The sequence below is a fragment of the Homo sapiens genome, chromosome 20 (genome assembly GCF_000001405.40).
Source record: "Homo sapiens chromosome 20, GRCh38.p14 Primary Assembly".
NCBI classification, from domain to species: Eukaryota; Metazoa; Chordata; class Mammalia; order Primates; family Hominidae; genus Homo; species Homo sapiens.
Genome location: NC_000020.11, coordinates 52965270 through 52982761, shown reverse-complemented (window position 1 = coordinate 52982761; position 17492 = coordinate 52965270). Strand labels below are relative to the sequence as shown.

The following is a 17492-nucleotide window of genomic DNA, read 5'->3' as shown; positions in this document are numbered from 1 at the left end:
CCATCATACTCTACCTCATGAAGCCAGATTTATTCTTATGAAATGCAATTAGGACTATTCAATATTGTGTTATATATTTATTTGTTTGTTAGCTTTTTAGGCTAGCCCACAAGAATATTAGCTGTGTGAGGGCAGGGGCATCTCTATTCTTGTCTACTGTTATTTTTACAGCACCTAGAACAATACCTGGCACATAATAGATGCACAGCCAATATTTGTTGAACAAATGAATGCATGTACGGACATATGAAAGAACATCCCATAAAGAGACAACTTCAGATGACAGGAGTTGGCCTGAAGATTCTATCTGGAGATGCCGCTAAAGGCAGCATCCTCCGTCTAGGCTCTCAATTAACCCCATAGCTTTAGACATCACAATAGACACAGGGGGAGAATAATAAGACTGAGGGTTCTTCCTTGGGTCCTTCCTGGCAACTCGCTATGACTATTCTAGATAAACGATCATAATAAATTAAATGCATGGACTTTGGAAGCAGGAAGAGCTGAGTTTAAAACTCAGCTTGGCTACCGCACGAACTTGAATGAGTTATCCTGCAACTTACTCAGATTCTCATCAGTAAAACAGGGATTATACTTGAAAGTTATAAGGAACAGGACTTAGCCCAGATGTCCCCTCCTCTGAGAGGTCTCCCCTGACCATCTACATCTCTGTTGTCCCAACTCCTGCTCTCATAATTTTGCTTTTATAAAGCTATTGCCATCATGAAGCTTTTTTTCTATACTGAAATTATCTTTTCCTTTATAAATTTCTTTGTATATTCTCTAGCTTCCCCCAATTGGAGGGCAAGATCCCCAGGGATCATCCCCATCCTATTCACCTCCAGGTCCAGGTAGTAGAACAGCATCTGACACATAGTAGGAACTCAAGAAATAACTGCCGTGTAAACGAATAAATGTAAACATATAAAGCACGTGGTATGTAAAAAGCACTTGTTTAGTGGCAGATATCATTGTTACCATTGTTACCGTTGTTGGTGGTGCTATAAATTCTATTTCTTGGGAAAGAAACTCTTTTTTGAGCGGGTGCTGGACTCCAAACAGCCCAGAATGAGTCTGCCTCAGGAGAAGAGGCTAAAACACTGCTTAGCCATTGTGTTTCCAGGCTTACAAATCAAAATCCATCCATATCTGGTTTCTTTCAAGCCCTGGACCCCTTGTTCTGTGATAACTGGTAAGTTGCTTGTTTCCCAGTTAATATAAATTTTCCATAGTCTGGTTATTCAGGGTAAAGACACACTATTCCCTCGTATCCCTGTGGTGCCTAACAGTTTCAGCACACTTTCTCAGCCCTCCTCTGACACAATCCTTTCCACACACCTGGAACATATGATTGCCCCCATTTTATAGATTAGAAAGTGGAGGGCAGAGATTTGAGCAGCCTGCCCAAGTTTACGCGGCCGAATAAGAATTAGACCTAGAGACTTGAACTTCAATCAGTCTGACTCCAAAAACTCACATTCTTACCCGGAGAGTAAGGTTTATCTCTAGAGCTTGCCCGGGGCTAAATAACTAGCGTGGGGCAAGGCTGCAACCAGAACCCAAGTCACTTGCCCTTACTCCGCTGTTCCATCCACAGTCTCAAATCTAATCCCAAGGGGGAAAACAAGAAGAAGCACTCAGCAGTGTACCCAACTTTCTAATAAAGGAAAATAGCCAAAGGCAATTCTGATATAAAACGCATTTATGGCTTTTCATTTTGGCATTTCTTCTGTACCAAATGGCACCGTGCACATAGAATAGATTTGACTCTTCTCTACAGCATCATCTTGGCCCAGAAGCTATTCATATCTCTCTGGGGTATAAAAGAGAGGCTCCTAAATACATAAAAAAAATTCCAAGGATCTGATAAATTGAAGTGATTTAAAGTAAGCCCTGTGCAGTTTATATAGAGATATTTATATGCCACTGCTCTCACTTACACAAGCCATTTTTCCCCTATAGAAGACCTTGACCCTCTGTCTCATTTTTGTATCTCCCATGTCACAAGGTTTCATGGGTTTTTCATGATCCAGTAAAGCATTACGGAAGTTTCTTTCAAATTCATTACAAATAGAATGGCTGCTGCCAACTCTGTTTTTATCTCATTCTGCCCTTCGTAACTATTTTCATTAAAAGCAATAACTGTATTCTACCCACCTTAATATCTAAACTATATAATTTCCATAGAAATGGCTTAGATGTGGCTTTAAGAAGAAAGCTCAGGGGTGATTTTAGAGTATTCCTTCAGTTCTGAAAGCACTCAAGTAATTAAGACCAGTGATCTTAATTTTTATACTAACAGAAACTGCAGAATGCTGGCCTTTTTTTTTTTTTCTTCAAACCCACCTTAGTGTCTAGCAGTGTTGTGGAAACATGAGGCCTTTCCTTAATCATAAATGGACACTACAGCTTTTCAATTAAATTAGTCTTTGGAGAGAGATGCAAAAGAGCTAAAAAGCTCCTTAAAAAAATCTTCCCTGCTTCACCGCTTCTCATTTGCCAAGAAGAGATGTTTAGCTAAAACGCAATGCTGTTGTCTTCTTATCCTGCCGCAACAAAGTTCTCTTGATCTTGAACCCTGAGCTAGCTATCTTACGAAGATCCTTGAGGTTTTTCTTTTGGTTTGCATGCCCACATTTGGTTTTCTGAAACAATTTTTTAAAAAGTGTTGTGTAATATAGTGTCTTACATCTGTGTGTCCAGAGAGAGTTTCATTAGTCCCTGCTTCAGGCTGGGGTAGCAGGTAGGAGGATATTGAAATTGTTTTTTAAATGACACAGGTAGAAAGAGAGCTCTCATTTAGATGAGCAGAATTCAAGACAAATGCTTTCAAATATGATCCAGGTATTTCTTCCCCCCATGTAATTTCTCTAAGCTCATTATCTCTAAAACTTTTGCATTGTGCGTTTTCCTGTTGTTATGCATAGCTAAATAATACTGATATATTAATAATCGGATTATCTTGCTGTGCCTCCTGAATTTTAATTTCTAAAATTGTAAATAATTTTAGCATGACTTTAGCATCCCAGAATATTTGAGGGTGCCCAGAGGATGTCTTTTTCTACAGGGGAAACGTAAAAAATTGAGGGAGGCAACAACTGAAAATTCCAAATGGCCATTTTAATGACTTTCAAATGCCTCCAAATTATTGAATCATTTCATTCATGGAGTTTGCTTTGGAAACAAATATATCAGCAATTCCCACTCGCATCTCAGATTTCTCTTCTGTGTCTCTGTGTATGTATATAATGTCTTTGAACGGACCTCAGTCTGATACCCTTGGACAAAATAATTTCTCGGACAAAATGAGCAATATGGATACGGCCACACTGCTGGAGACGCTCCCCATTCATGTGCAAGTTAAAGTTGAAACTATGTGTTTGCAGAGGTGCTTTCTCATTAGTTTGCAGACCTAGACTAGCAGTGAACCGTTGGGCTCTGAAGTCTCTAATTTTTATTACAATGTCTTAAAATCTGATGTATCTTGAAATCCACTTTAAATGCTATCTCTAAACGTTCTTCTCAGAAAAAGTTCCCAAAACAAGTGAATGAAAGGTCAGTAGGAGGAAAAAAAAAAGAAATTATAAATCCAGTGAAAATAGTGTTACATGTTAGAGGCATGTAAATAGATGGTGTTTTTTTCTTACTGTAATATTCAGGTAAGCAAGCAAGTACTCTCCACTTTCTTATGTGGTTAGAATGACTAACTTCCTCCTATAATCGAAGAGCTGCTTGCCAAAGATCACCCTAAGGAATGTGAGAATTTCTAACTTTAAATAGAACTTGTAAAACTTAAAAAAAAAATTAAAAATACCAATTGTTACAAATTACTGAAAAATGAATGTAAAAACCTATTCTGGGGTAAGCAGACTCTATAAAGATAGAAGGATAAGCTCTCCCTGATTACAGACTACAGTAAAAGATAGTCTGTATTTATCACAACATTAGAAAATTAAAATAAATTTCTCTCAAAGAAATAAAAATATAAAAGCGTTCTCAACTTGTGAAGCAATAAAATTATTTGTGCGCCAGGCTTCTTTTAATACCACTGTGATTTTTTTAATAAAAGTCGTTCAGTTTGATTGTAATTAAATATGTAATGAAAAACCACTGCTTCAGGGAAGCGATGCAAGACACTATTTAACTGTTAGTTAAATGTATTTCCAACTGACTTTGCATCAAACGAAAATGATACTCCGTGTATGCCTGGTCTTAATATAGAATTTGTTCGGCAATTTCTGTGTTTTTTTAAAGGGGACCTAGGTAGAAGCAGGCATTGCCTTCGAAATAGTGGCTGAGTCTTCCCAGACCATGACATTCCCAAATAAAATTGATAGTATAAATACAGTGATGGAAGGGAAGGTCGACTTTGGACATTTACCTCGTGTCAGCTAATTACAGGCATAGCACAAACGTGACCAGGGCCTAGGTTTTCTTCTTGGTTGACTTGATAAGCTCAGCTGCAGTGATGAACAGTGAGGCATCATTTCAATGGCTTTAAAAAATGCCAGGCTCAGTCTGTGCCCCCACCCCCATGACCAAAACCCATTCAATGGACAGCACAATTCCCAAGGCCCTGGGAAAAGAAACAGATCAACTCAGGTATTATCCTTTGGAGAAATTCCGTCAAATGAATGAGAAATCAGCTGGGATGAAATGAAAGCATAAACGTCCGTTGGAGACTATGACAAAAGTCAAGCTGCTTCAGGGACCGACCTCCTAAAAATACTTGGGAGGTATTTCTTGGGTGTTAAGCATTCCCAAAGTGTAGCAGTAGAATGGGCAACTGGGAGATAAAGAAATGTAAAGTGGAAGAAAAAAATGTAGACTGTTTCTGAGGAATGTTTCTCCCCTCCCCAAAAGTAATCTTCAGCATCCAAACTCTTAAGCCTCAGAGAAGATTTTCATTGTCAAGAAGTTTCCCGGAGCCCCTGCTCCCTTACAGAGTTTCCACTAAACTCTCTGTCACTTGTAATCTGCTGATTAGGGTTAACGTATTGTGTCCTGATATGGCAGATTAAAAATGAAATCAATAAATGCCTAAAACAAATGGGCTTTTGAGATGTCCTATTCAGTCTGAGTCTTTAAGGGTGAGGTGAGAGGTGGAAGAAGGAAATCAAGACGGGGGTGGGAAAAGGACCACTTAAGCAATCAATTTCCGTCCAAAATGTTGTGTGGACCAAGCGATTTCAAGGAATCTATCCTTCCTTTTTCAGATATCTGCCTTAAGTAACAAGAATGGCCAAAAGAGTTTGTGCTGCTAAGACCCTTTGGACTTTATTGTGTCCATGCGTGTGTGTGTGTGTGTGTGTGTGTGTGTGTGTGTGTGTGTGTGTGTGTATTTTTCCATTCATTTGTTAAAAACATACTTTTGGGCAAGTGAAGGAATCCATCGCGTGAGATATTTAAATATTCAAGATGTGAACTTGTCTTTCTGAAGGATGTTTAAACAAAGTGAGGGAGGAAGGGTCCCAAATCTACCCGATTCCTAGTCTCTTGAAAGCTGTCCCACTTGACAGTAAATTAAAGGTAAACTTCGCCCTGAGCTGCCTGCCCCCTCCCTCCATCCTGTTGGTTGAGATTTCTGGGACCTCACCGGTTAATTCAGAGTCATCACTATCAAGAGGTGGAAAAGAGATCTCTGAGGTCATTTCTGCTCTGTTGCAGTGTTCAGAGTTGTCCCTGTTGACTATGTTTCCCATGTAAATAACCTGTGTTATTAAGGTGCAAATTGCAACTTTTAAGTAATGATTGCTAATAGTCTAATGTTTACTGCCACACAAGGACATTCATGAAAACAAAATCTGCATTATTCATCTCCATATTAAATAAACAAAATAAATTGAGGGAGCTGTTCTTTCTTGCAAGACTCTTCAGATCTGGGTGATCAGAAAGCCTTTAAGAGTCAGCAAGAGGGAAACATCTAATTGCTTTGGGTGGGCAGGGGCAGAATCCTATAACTTACATATATAAAAGATATATTCACAAGATGTGCTCACAAAAGATTGTGTGTTCTATTGCAATTGGCTGTCATTAATATAAAAGCAGTTCAGTATGGTGAAATAAAATACGTATTATTTATGTGCGCGCACAGAGGCTGAGATAGGCTGTAGAAAATCAAGAGTTAGATTCTAAGTCTACAATTTTAAATTTTTAACCACTCTGCATCCTGCAAAATGCAAACAAATCAAAACACCGTTCTGTTTTACTTTCCTGCCATTTTCTCTATCTCCCTTGAAATGCATAGAAGGGGAAAATGCTGGTACTGAATCCTGCAATATTTTCAGGTAATAGTGGATGTATTTTAATGGTGAGTGAAATATACATCCAAGGAAGCAAGCATGCACACACAACACAAACCCCTGGGGTACTGTAGGCTGCTTTCTCAACTTTTTTTTTCTTGCCCTAAGTAATAGTATGGTGGAATAGCATAGCTTAAGAAAGCCAGGAAGAATGACATTTCAGAGGGAAATACTCTGATTTAGCTGTTTCCTTAAAGAGAATTGTCCCCTCACATCCCTTCCCCCTGAAGGGGGAGGAACATAACAAATAAAGACTAAAATTCCTCATCACTTACAATATCATCTTGTTTATTCTGTTTAGATACCTGCTTTAGTAGAAAGTTCTGTAATTGATTCCTTGAAACATGGAACTTATAACTAATAATACAAAGGAATCAAATTGCCTGGAACAGTTCTTGGGAAAAAGAGCGCTCCGGGAGAGCCTCAGCTCGGATCCACTCACAGGCTTTTTCTATCTCCCATTATTCATTAATCAAGCTAGAAATCAAGCTTTCAACATCAGTCCTTGGGTGTAATTACTTACAGTTGTGCATTGTGTTTAATTTTAAGCAGTGATAAAAGTTAGTATGGCCATAATCTTAGAACCCACCTTCTCCCCTTCCCTGGATGTTAACTGACTACAGAACCCCAAAGTGGCTAACTTTACTTGTGAATAACCACTTCAGCTGAAATAGAGTAGGGCATTGATGACCTTAGATGAACAGAAGAAACACTGCATGAAAAACTGTCTCCTCTATTAATATGTGAGCAAATAAATAAGGTAAGAGGGCCCTCACTGTGTACGAAATGAATCATCCTTTTTCAGCTTAAAAAGGGTTTCCGCTTCTGGTGAAAATAATAAGAATCATACAAAACAAACATACAAAGACAGTAGGAATATAATAGGCCAGAAAACTGAAACTATAGTTACAAGTTTCTAACACACACACACACACACCCCCACACACCCACACACACCAATAAACTAGCCAGCACCAACAGACACAGCTTAATGAAAAGGACCTGATTTAAATAATGTGATACAGTGTTATGTTACGTACACCTGGATCCTTATCGATCGTAGGATAATTATAATCAAAGTCGAGCAATTCTGAGCAATGCACTTTTTGTAATGAGCTTACTAAAGGAGACATGTCCAGTCATTCTGGTAATTTAAATTACTGCCTAGTTGTTGATAGTCTTTACCGGAACAACCAGAAAAAAAAAAAGAGTAATTTTCAGGGCAGTATCACTTCTTGCTGGACCGTAGCCCAGGGTTCTCTTTCGGGACAACAATAAGGACGTTATCTCTAATAATGTAGCTACACTTAAACTTATGTTGCCAGAACTAGATGCAGCAGGCTCACTGTTCCTGGGTCTCAAAGGCCATTGAACACATCCACACGCTGTCAGATTGCAAAGCAGCCTAAGTTTTAGGAAATCAGTGAGTTAAATGCAGAAAGAGACAACGGTAGGAAAGAGACATTGTTTTCCAAAGAAGTAACTAGAGTTGAAAAAAGAAAACCTCACTGATGAGGCAAGTTCCAAATACGTACCTCACTAAAAATATTTTAATTATTTTGCTTTTAGGGAAACGATCAGAAAATATATGAATCCACGCTTTATCAATATTTCTGCATGCCACTTGAACCAACTTACAAATAGGGAAGCAATTCTGTGCTCAGAAGGAATGATAATTGTGGATATTTTGAAACACTCAGGCGAGGAAGGAGGATGAGCTTGGTGGTTCAACACATTCAGACAAGGGATGCCCACTCTCCTCAGATTCCTAACTAACTTTGGATTTGTTCTAAGGGTGACTTTGCAAAGTTTATGAAAGTGTTCCACCAAACTTCTCCCTATGTTTTGCTAGAGTTGGAACAGAATGAAATGTGGAGGTGGGTCTGCAGAAGACCAGTCTTACCTAATGTTGCCTAAATCAAGAGGGTAAAGACAGAGAGAGAGGAAAAAACAACTAAACTTAAGCTTTTTGCGAAAGCCCTGATTCAACTAAAGGACACAAAGAAATAAAAACGCCCACATTAAAAGCCAAACAAGATAATAATTGTGCATGTCTGGCTCTGAATATAGAGGGCAAGGTTTGCGTCACTGGCACTCTGAGTTACCATGGTGAGTGATTTATTGATATATATCAAGAATGAATAGATCAAAGGCAGCGAGATGACAGGTGATCAATCAAATGTCAAATCAAAACTAGCAATCAAGTGGAAAGCTGATTTTTCAGTGGGTGGGTCTGGCAGAAGAAAAATGAACTTTCATATTACATTTCCGAGAAACAAAACCCCAGCATACTATTAAAAAAGCAATTAAGCAACCCAAAAGAAAAAAAAACTTTAGAAGGTCTATTGTACTGATCCATTAACCTGTTCTTATCTTTTTTAGGGGGCAGTAAGGATTCAGATGGGATAGTTTTTACAGTACGAATCATTTCACAAAGTTTGCAACTCTCTAGGCAAAGAAAATCCAGAGCTGTTTAAATTTCTATGGGGAATTTCCCCCCTACAACCCTTTTTGGTTTTTTTAAAGAATAGGGAAATTGTTAATTACATTTCCAAATATGGATCCTTTTAGAAAATATATGCAAAGAGTCATCCATTTCCTGGGGGCATTTTGTCCACCTTGGTGATCAACGCTAAACTCCTATTGCTGGCCCCAAAGCCTGCCTGCAGCCCGAGTGTTAGGTATGCCTCACACTTCAGCGCCCCAAGCCCCAGTGAGAGGAGACGCTATCCCTGGAGGCCAAAAGCCACTGGCACTGACCACGCAGAGGGATGCAGGGGTGGAGGGGCTGTCTCCCTACTCCGCACCCCAAATCCTCAATCCGACTTTGGCCCGAGAGGCAAGAAACAGACTGGAAGAAAGTTAGGGGTGGGGTAGAGGGTGGAGGAAAGAAAGTTTAAGGAGGAAAGGCTTGGTGGGATAGCTCACCCCAACCCAACCGGAGCTTGGAAGGGGAGGATTTGGGAGACCAGAGAAGGCGAGAGAGGACGGGGTTATTAGAAGGGCACCCGGCGCAAACTCCCCCGAAAGCTTAAGTGGGTGGTGCCCCCGGGCACCCAGGGGCAAGGAGGGCGGGCGAGGAGCTCGGCGCACAGGGCAGCCCCGAAGCGGAGCCGTTTCTCTTACCTGCCGCCCGCTTGGGTGCCTGCTGTTTTCTCCTCGGCATCCTCTACTTCGCTCCAGTCCCACTTCTGGCGCCCCAGCCCCGAGCCGCGCGCTGGGGCCCGCTGTCTCTCTGGCCTCTCTGGGTCTCCTCCGCCTCTTGCCCGGTGGCTCCTAGGACGTCACTCGGCCTCTGTCCCCCTGACGATCCCCCCTGCAACTCCTCCACCACGGGCCAGAGACCCCCCTCTCTGGGTGGCAGACACGGGTGGCTTGTGCCGGCTGCTTTGAAGTAGAGGTTGGTTCTGCCTTGTTTGTTTGTTTGTTTATTTTGAATTTTTTTTCCTCTCTCTTTTTTGTTTTTGCTTTTGGAATTTTTTTGGTTTTGTTTTTGCGGTTTTTTTTTTTTTTGGTGACTGTTGAGACACTTGATTTCTTTATTAAACATCCAAGCCCGGGTTCGGATGGAAGGGACGAGGGGCGCACACGCGCCACAGGCACACTCGCGCGTAAAGATAAGGAAAAAAAAAAGGCAATCCTGGGAAGGTAGTGGGTTTCTTCTTTTTCTTCTTCTTCCTTCTCCTCTTTCCCTCCTCCTCCTCCTCCTCCACCTCCTCCTCCACCTCCTCCTTCTTTTCTTCCTCCTCCTCCTCCTCCTCCTCGCCGATCTCTATGGCGGATTCGTGCCGGGGGGAGAGCGATCACTCACTGTAGGTTTGTGGCTGCTGTCAGATCCCCGTCTGTGAGTGATATGCGAGAGGACAGGAGCGGGTTTTGGAAAGACAGAAAATCTGGAATTCACTCACTCACACACACACACAGACACACACACAGACACTCACACACGCACTCACACGCGCACGCACCCCCGCTTCCTCGCACACACACACTCACACCCCCCACATATGCACACACACACAAACACACACACACACCCTCGCACACACACACAAGACAGGGCGAGGCGATGCCAGCAAACATCGATCCCGCTGAACAAACTGAACATTAACAAACTCCTCCTCCTCCTCCTCTCCCCGCGACCTGATGACAGGGAGAAATTTACTCCCCAGCCGCAGAGCGCCAGGCAGCGGGAGCCTATTAAAGGGACAGCGTCCCGCAGGGGAGAGGGGCTGGGGGCGGGGGCCCCGGCGCGCCGGCCCAGGCCCCTCTGTGCGCCCTCTCCGCCGGGGCGAGGGCGTGCCCACCGGGCGCGGGGACACCCCTCCGGGAGGCGGAAGGGGCGGGGGCGGGAGGAAAGGAGGTGAGGAGGGAAGGGGTGCGGGAGAAAAGGAGGCAGTGTGATGATGGCTGAACTCTGAAGCTGGGAGGCTGTGGAGGGAGATTCAGGGGGGCCAGGTTGGCTGACCAGCAGGGACCATGCACAATCTTAGGAGAGGGAGAACTTAGGTTTGCTCGGGGCTGGGAAGGGGGAGGGGACCTTATCCAGTGAGGATCTCCATCCTGTAAGTCTTAACCTGCCCCCACCAAAATGTGCTCCCCACGACCCCTTCAATTTAGTGCCCCTGTCCCTCCCACTTTCTCGCTAATCAATGGGTGGTCACAAAAACAAAAATCTCCCTTCTGTCTACTTTAAGGTCTAATCATATACTCCTCTTTTTGTTTCCTTTGAAGAATGTTTATTGAGCATCTACTATGTGCCTATTCTGGAGACACAGAGGCCACAGAGAAAGGGAAGGTGGTGGCCATGTTGGTATTTATATTCTAATGGGGGAGTGCAGACAAGTGCCCCCCAGCTATCCAATCTTTGCTTAAATGTCCCCTTTTCCCAAAGGTCTACCTCACCTAAAATACACACACACACACACACACACACTCCCTGCCCCATTTCTCCATTTTGTTATTCCCCAGTGAGCTGATCAGTGAGTGTCACACAGGTTATAGACAGTTTTCTATTCTGTTGATTGTACAAGTTCCCCTCTTGAATGTAAGCTCCAATGGAAGGAAGGATTTTTGCCTCTTTGTTCTCTTATATCCCCAAGTGCTGGCAAAGCACAAGACATATAATAAGTGCCCAGTAAAATATTTGTTGAATGAATGAAAAGTAAGCAAGCAAATAAACAGGATACTTTGAGTGATTCGCTCCATGAAGACGTTAAGCTGAGTGCTGTAATAGTGTCTAAAAGGGGGTGGGTGGCTCTAGATTCAATGTAGGATATGGCATTTGAGCACAGAGAGATTGAAACAAACATGTGATTATTGAGTTCTGCTATCGGCCAGGCACCTTTTGAGGTGTTGGGGGCAAGTCTGTGAACAAGGTGAACCTAGACCATGCCCTCAAGGAGTGCTCCTTCCAGTGAGAGGGCAAAGCAACTGAGGGCATTTGATGCAGGCTGGGACTAGAGGTGTTTTTTTTTGCTTTATTATTTTTTTTATTTCAATAGCTTTAGGGGTAAAAGTGGTTTTCGGTTACATGGATGAATTGCATAGTGGTGAAGTCTGGGATTTCAGTGCACCCGTCACCCGAGTAGTGTACATCGTACCCAATAGGTAGTTTTTCAGTCCTCACCCCCTTCCCATACTCCTCGCTTCTGAGTTGCCAATGTCCATGATATCTTTCCATATGCCTTTGCATACCCATGCATTAGCTCCCACTTATAACCAAGAACGTGTGGTATTTGGTTTTTGATCCTGAGTTACTTCACCTAGAATAACGGCCTCCAGCTCTATCCAAGTTGCTGTGAAAGACATTATTTTGTTCTTTACTATGGCTGAGTAGTATTCCACGGTGTATATATATGTGTGTATATACACACAAACACACATATATATACACAAATACACATATATAGATATATATACCACATTTTCTTTATACAATAATCAGTTGATGGGCACTTATGTTGATTTCATATCTTTGCAATTGTGCTGCAATGAATATACGCCTGCAGGTGTCTTTTTGACATAATGACTTTTTTTCCTTTGGGTAGATACCCAGTAGTGGGGTTGCTGGATCAAATGGTAGATCTACTTTTAATTCCTTGAGAAATCTCCATACTGTTCTCCATAGAGATTGTACTAATTTACATTCACACCAGCAGTGGGTATAAAAGTTCCCTTTTCCCCACATCCACACCAATATCTGTTGTTTTTTGACTTTTTAATAATGGCCATTCTGGCTAGGGTAAGGTGCTATCTCACTGCAGTTTTAATTTGCATTTACCCTGTGATTATTGATGTTCAGCATTTTTTCATTATGTTTGTTGGCCATTTGTCTGTCTCCTTTTGAGAAATGTCTATTCACGTCATTTGTCCACTTTTTAATGAGATTATTTTTTTTTTTTTCTTGCTGATTTGTTTGAGTTCCTTGTAGATTCTGGATATTAGTCCTTTGTCAGATGCATAGTTTGCAAATATTTTCACCCATTCTGTAGGTTGTCTGTTTGCTCTGATGATTGTTTCTTTTACTGGGTAGAATTTTTTTAGTTTAATTAGGCTCCATTTATTTATTTATTTTTGTTGCATTTGCTTTTGAGGGCTTAGTCAGAAATTCTTTGCCTAAGCCAATGTCCAGAAGAGTTTTTCTTAGGTTTTCTTCTAGAATATTTATGGTGTCAGGTCTTATGTTTAAAGTCTTTAATCCATCTTGAGTTAATTTTTATATATGGTCAGAGACAGGGATAGTTTCATTCTTCTACATGTGGCTATCCAATTTTCCCAGCACCATTTATTGAATAGGGCAGGGGTCCCGAACCCCTGAACCATGGACTAGCACCTGTCCATGGCCTGTAAGGAACTAGGTGGCACAGAAGGAGGTGAGCAGGTAGGGGTAAGCAAGCATTACCATTTGAGCTCTGTCACTTCAGCAGGGGCATTAGACTCTCATGGGAGCTCTAACTCTATTGTAAACTGTGAATGCAAGGGATCTAGGTTGCACACTCCTTATGAGAATCTAATGCCTAATGATCTGAGGTCAAACAGTTTTATCCCAAAACCATCCACCCTGCCCTGGTCCATGGAAAAATTGTCTTCCATGAAACCAGTCCCTGGTGAAAAAAAGGCTGGAGAACACTGGAATAGACCTTTTCCCAACTTATGTTTTTATATGCTTTGCCAAAGATCAGTTGGTTATAAGTATGTGGTGAAGGTGTTCTTAGGAGGAGTGATTACCCTGAACTTGGCGAAAGGAAGGATGGTTACCAGGCGGGGCTTCAAGGGAAGAGGTAAGTCAAAGCTGAGTCTTACATATAACAAACGGGTAGGCAAAAAGGGAACTCTGATACTGAAGCCCTTGTATCAAAAAGACACCGTGTAAGGCTTCTGCTTCCGCATTAAAATCTCCTGAGGCCCTTGTTAAGATGCACGTACCTGGTCCTTGCCCTAGAGCAAGATTTTCTAACCCAGGCCCTATTGACATTGAAGGTCTGATAATTCTTTGTTAGGAGGGGCTGTCCTGTTCAATGTAGGATGTTTAGGAACATCCCAGGCTTCCGTTGTGACAATGCAAACTGTCTCCAGATACTGCCCAATGTCCCCTGGTAGGCAAAATCGTCCTTGGCTTAGCATCACTACCCTAGATCTTCTGAATCAGAAAATTCCGGATGAAGGCTTAGAGATCTGTATTTTGAACATGTAACCCATCCATCCCTACAAGTGAAACTTCTGCTCACACCAGTTAGAGAACATCTGCCCCCAAATTGTTTGTTCTTTTGTAATCAGACATACTCAATGTTGTTAACTATAAAGCCAAGTCAGGCTTAGATATTAATGTAACTTAAGGGTTCAAGGGGTGATGTTGTAATGGTGGCCGTCGCGATGGGGTTTCACCTGTGCCCACTCCTCAATACTCCTCCTCCCACCATGATCACCCCCACCCCACCACCCCAGCAAGGCCTGCCCAGTCTGATCTGGGACACTTCCCACTACAACCCACCCACCTGCTTATGGGGAACTACCAGTTCTGACTAGTTCCATGAATATTTTTCTTAACAGTTCTTTGGGCTGTATGACACTCAACTTTCCCTATCCTACTTGTCAGCCACAAAGTGTTGTTGTGATTGTTTGCAAAGTGCTGTTTAATCATTTTTAACATCCTCACGCACTTCTCCATCTCACATGTGTGGTACAAGTTGTTAACTCACTTGCCCTAAATCACCCGAGAAGCCTCCACCCATGACCAACTCCACCCAGTCCCAGCCTAGTCCTTAGGCAACTGAGGCAGAAAAAGCCCGATTTCATAGTTGGCAATGTCAACAAAAAAGGTATTAATTCTAATTACCCAATACATTTTTACAGAGCACTGTGCAAGGGACCATAGCCTATTGAATAAAACCTCACAGCCTTGCAGCCAAGGAACCACCGTTGTGGGATTAGGGGATACTTGTTTATAGGATCAGGAGGCCTGAACAGAAGAGGAGTGAAGCTGCAGCAACCTCACCATGAAGCCGCCATGCTCTGTGCAAGCCCCATGCCTGCTGGTGTGGTGTTTGTGTTACATTCAGCCAGTTATTTCACAGACATCTACTGCGCCTGTTAGGTCTACCAGGCCTTGCCCCAAGCACAGCAGATTTTGGAATGCATAAGGTAGGATCATCACCTTCAAAAAGCTTTTGGATGTTATAATAACATCCCAAAGACTGGGAACTAAAAAAGAGGGAATTTGGAAGCTGGGTCCAGCCTTGGAGACAATCAGGAAGGAAATGGGCAGGAGAAGATGACTTTGGATGACAGAATTTCCCTGAGGTTCTATCCAATATCCTTCTCAGAATTTTACATCCGCTCTCTCCTTGTTCTCAATAGCTGGTTATATAATGTGGGGGACTTGTAACAATTCTGCAGTACCTACTTTCTGGCTGGCTATTAACACATTGTTGGATCTACATTTCTGAAATGTTCTTTTATTAATTTGTATTTTTTCATACCGTTACTAATAGTTAGCTTAGTTATCCACGAAAATGGTTTTGGCTTACACCAGCGGGATGTATAACACTATGTACCCAGTGCTGTAGACAAGATGTTAAATAATATTGAATCACATAGTAAGAAAGTTATTCCCTTTCAATTCTCTTTCAATCTGATAAAATAACCATTTTGTGCTCGTGTCTCTTTTATACCTAATGCTTGCTAACTTCTATTTTTCAACAAAGATACCACGGATCTTAGGCTCAGAAGCTTGGGAGGGACAAGAGTATCTAGCTAGACTTTTAAAAATGTTTTGTTTTCAAGCATATGAAAAAAGCCTCATCATCACTGATCATTAGAGAAATGCAAATCAAAACCACAATGAGATAACATCACATGCCAGAATGGTGATTATTAAAAAGTCAAGAAACAATAGATGCTGGCAAGGCTGTGAAGAAATAAGAAAGCTTTTACACTGTTGGTGGGAGTGTAAATTAGTTCAACCATTGTGGAAGATAGTGTGGTGGTTCCTGAAGGATCTAGAATCAGAAATACCATTTGACCCAGCAATCCCATTACTGGGTATATTCCCAAAGGATTATAAATCATTCTAAAATAAAGACACATGCACATGTAGGTTTATTGCAGCAATATTTACAATAGCAAAGACTTGGAATTAACCCAAATGCCCATCAATGATAGACTGGATAAAGAAAATGTGGCACATATACACCATGGAATACTATGCAGCCATAAAAAAGAATGAGATCATGTCCTTTTCCAGGACATGGATTAAGCTGGGAGCCATAATTCTCAGCAAACTAACACAGGAACAGAAAACCAAACACTATGTGTTCTCACTCATAAGACTCATAAGTGGGAACTGAACAATGTGAACACATGGACACAAGGAGAGGAACAACACACACCATGGCCTGTTGGGGTGGGGAGCAAGGGGAGGGAGAGCATTAGGACCAATACCTAATGCATGAGGGGCTTAAAAACCTAGATGACGGGTTGATAGGTGCAGCAAACCACCATGGTACGTGTATACCTTTGTAACAAACCTGCACATTCTGCACATGTATCCCGGAACTTAAAGTAAAAGAAAAAAAAGAATTAAAAAAATGTTTTGTTTTTAATGCTTTCGATTTAGAGTTACCTTCTGTTTTTAAAGATCCTGCTCTCCTTGCGTAAGAGCAATCTAATATTTAAACCCATTAAGTGGAATTTTAAAAATAAGTATATTAAAGGAACAATAGAGAGTAAAAAGTGATTCAGGTGGGATGTGGAAATGGCAAAATGTGAAAGAGATGGTGTGGGCATTGCTAGAATTGGAAAATACTGTGCTAAACCATAGACTCTGGCACTTGGGGAAACTTCTTATAAGAGCTGGTGTCTTGGGATGAGGCTATGTTTAAGTCTCCAGGGAACTTCGCTTCCTAGGATCCAGCACTCGAACTTTGGGATGTGTAAGGGCATGAACTGATTGGAATGACTCAACCCTACCTTCCAGAACAGTTGTTCACATGCTGGCTGAACATCAGAATCACCTGGGGATTTTTTGTTTTTCAAGATAAAGAACCCCAGGCCACATCCTAGACTTACTAAATTAGATTCCAGGGTGGTGTCAGAAAAATCTCAAAATCTTAAAGGTCCCAGGTGATTCTGGTAAGGCACTAGGCATAGGAAACTTTTCTGTACAAAAGTTGAATTTTATAACAAGTGAATAGAGTTTGCAGAGTTTCTTGCATGCAAGGAACAGAAAAGGCATTTGTTCTTGGATTCACTCAAGTCTTCTAATCACACTGTAGAAGCCTATCAATCCTCCCCCTCAAAGCACACAACATATCGAATTTGTTGTTAGTTCACCTGTTTTACCACTGATGCAATTAAACAAATATTTGCCAAGCACCTACCTTGTGCAGGGCAGTGCTCTAATTACTGGGCTTTGGGGTAGCCTTGTGATACCTGAGCACAGAGAGAATGTCTCAGTCACCATAGTGCCTCCTGTATAGGTTTCAGGACCTTTACTCTTATTCTTTCCTTCTACAAAGTTCCTCCTCCAGATCTATCTTTCCTCTTCACTCTAAACTCAAATGTACCTTTGTTGCCTACCCTATCTGTCCCACTCTTTCTCTGTATTTTCTTCATGTATTTTTGTGTTTTTCCTGTCTGTCTTCCCAAATTCACATTTATATCCTCAGGTTGAGCACCGTATTGGTGCTT

At 41.7% G+C, this 17492-nt stretch overlaps 1 protein-coding gene across 9 annotated transcripts in view; it reads right to left on the bottom strand.

Annotated features, from left to right (window-relative positions):
• TSHZ2 (teashirt zinc finger homeobox 2) overlaps nucleotides 1-10404 on the bottom strand; it is a 522973-nt gene extending 512569 nt beyond the window's left edge. For all 9 annotated transcript variants that reach the window (XM_047439875.1, XM_047439874.1, XM_047439873.1 and 6 more), the window contains exon 1: nucleotides 9429-10404. In XM_047439875.1, coding sequence (XP_047295831.1) covers nucleotides 9429-9468 — 40 coding nt within the window. In that variant the 5' untranslated portion in view covers nucleotides 9469-10404. The remainder of the gene's footprint in view (nucleotides 1-9428) is intronic.